Source organism: Homo sapiens, chromosome 6 (genome assembly GCF_000001405.40).
Source record: "Homo sapiens chromosome 6, GRCh38.p14 Primary Assembly".
Classification (NCBI taxonomy): Eukaryota; Metazoa; Chordata; class Mammalia; order Primates; family Hominidae; genus Homo; species Homo sapiens.
The window spans coordinates 86711799-86713496 of NC_000006.12; positions in this window are offsets into that span (position 1 = coordinate 86711799).

Consider the following 1698-nt stretch of genomic DNA (forward strand, 5'->3'; position numbering starts at 1 on the left):
AAAGTGAAAATCTTTCCCACATATTCAGGGATTAGTTTTCGTTTTGTTTTGTTTTGTTTTTAATGGAGACAGCAGAAAGTGAAATCAAAAAACTAATCTAAAAGAATTATATCCCAACATTTTAAAATTTGCTTTTTACTTTAAATTTTACGTGACACAGTATTAAAAGGGTAAAATTTCCTTGGAGAATGCAGTAGATAGATACTATGAAAAGTGCATTAAAAATGGAAATTTAATTCAACAAATGTGTATTTAGTGTTTCCATGTACAAATACAGGTTGAAACTATGAAGAGTAATGAGAAACAGTCTCTCCCTCTGGAATTCATGTCATGAGAGGGTAGAGAAATTTACATATGCACATAAATGGCACTAATACTAGGCAGACTACCCTAACTACGATAATAGATGGCATGTGAGCACAAAGAAGAAAGAGATTAATTATGGGAGTAGGATGACTAAGCTTCTTAGAGGAGGATGGACTTAGGTTTAAAAAACTTACTAATGGTGAGAATCAGAAACCAGGGTGGAGATGAATTTCCAGACAGAGAGATTTTGAGCTGGATCTAGAGATAGGAATGCAAGTCATTTATGGAACAATTAATGGCCATTACAGAAAGTGTGATAACGACTAAGAAGGAGATGAGAAAGGTTCAGGAAAAGTGAAAATTCCTAATTACAGATGGACACAGCTAGTGCACAATTTTCAGGCTGCATGCTATCTTAGGGATAGACTTGTGGCTTTTGGAATTATTCTTATTAGCTTTATTAAGGTATAATTGGCATAAAATAAATTGCACATATGTAAAGTGTATAATTTGTTAAGATTTGACATATGTTTGCACCTACAAGATCATCACCACAATTAAGGTAGTGAACATATCCTTCACCACCCCCCCAAAATTTTCTCACATGCCTTCATAATTCTTCCCTCTCTCTCCACCTCCTAATCCCCAGGCAACCAATGTTTTATATAATTTCAACTTTTATTTCAGATTGAAGGGATGGATGTGCAGGTTTGTTACCTGGGTATATTGTGTGATGCTGATGTTTGGGGTATGGATGATCCTGTCATACTGAGCATAGTATCCAACACTTAGTTCTTTGACCCTGGCTCCCTGCCTTCCCTCGCTTGTCTAGTAGTCCTGGTGTTTATTGTTGCCATATTTATGTCCATGAGTATCCAATGTTTGGCTCCCACTTATAAGTGAGAACAGGTAGTATTTGGTTTTCTGTTTCTGTGTTAATTCGCCTAGGATAATGCCTCCAGCTGCGTCTATGTTGTTCCAAAGGACATGATTTTGTTCTTTTTTATGGCTGCATAATATAATGATCTGCTTTCTGTCACCATAAATTAGTTTACATTTCCTACAATTCTACATAAATGGAATGCTAAACTATGTTCTCTTTGTTGTCTGAGTCTGCTCACTCAACAAAAATGTTTTGAGAGTCAGCCATGTTGTAGTGTGTTTCAATAGTGCATTGCTTTTTATTGCTAGGTACAATTTCTTCGTGTAGATATAGTAGTTTGTTTCTATTCACCAACTGACAGACTTGCAGATTGTTCCCAGTTTGGGACTATTTCACATAAAGCTGCCAGGAACATTCATGTGCAACTGTTTTTTTTTTTTTTTAACTTTAGTTCTGGGATACATGTGTAGAACATGTAGGTTTGTTACATAGGTGTGCGTGTGCCATGG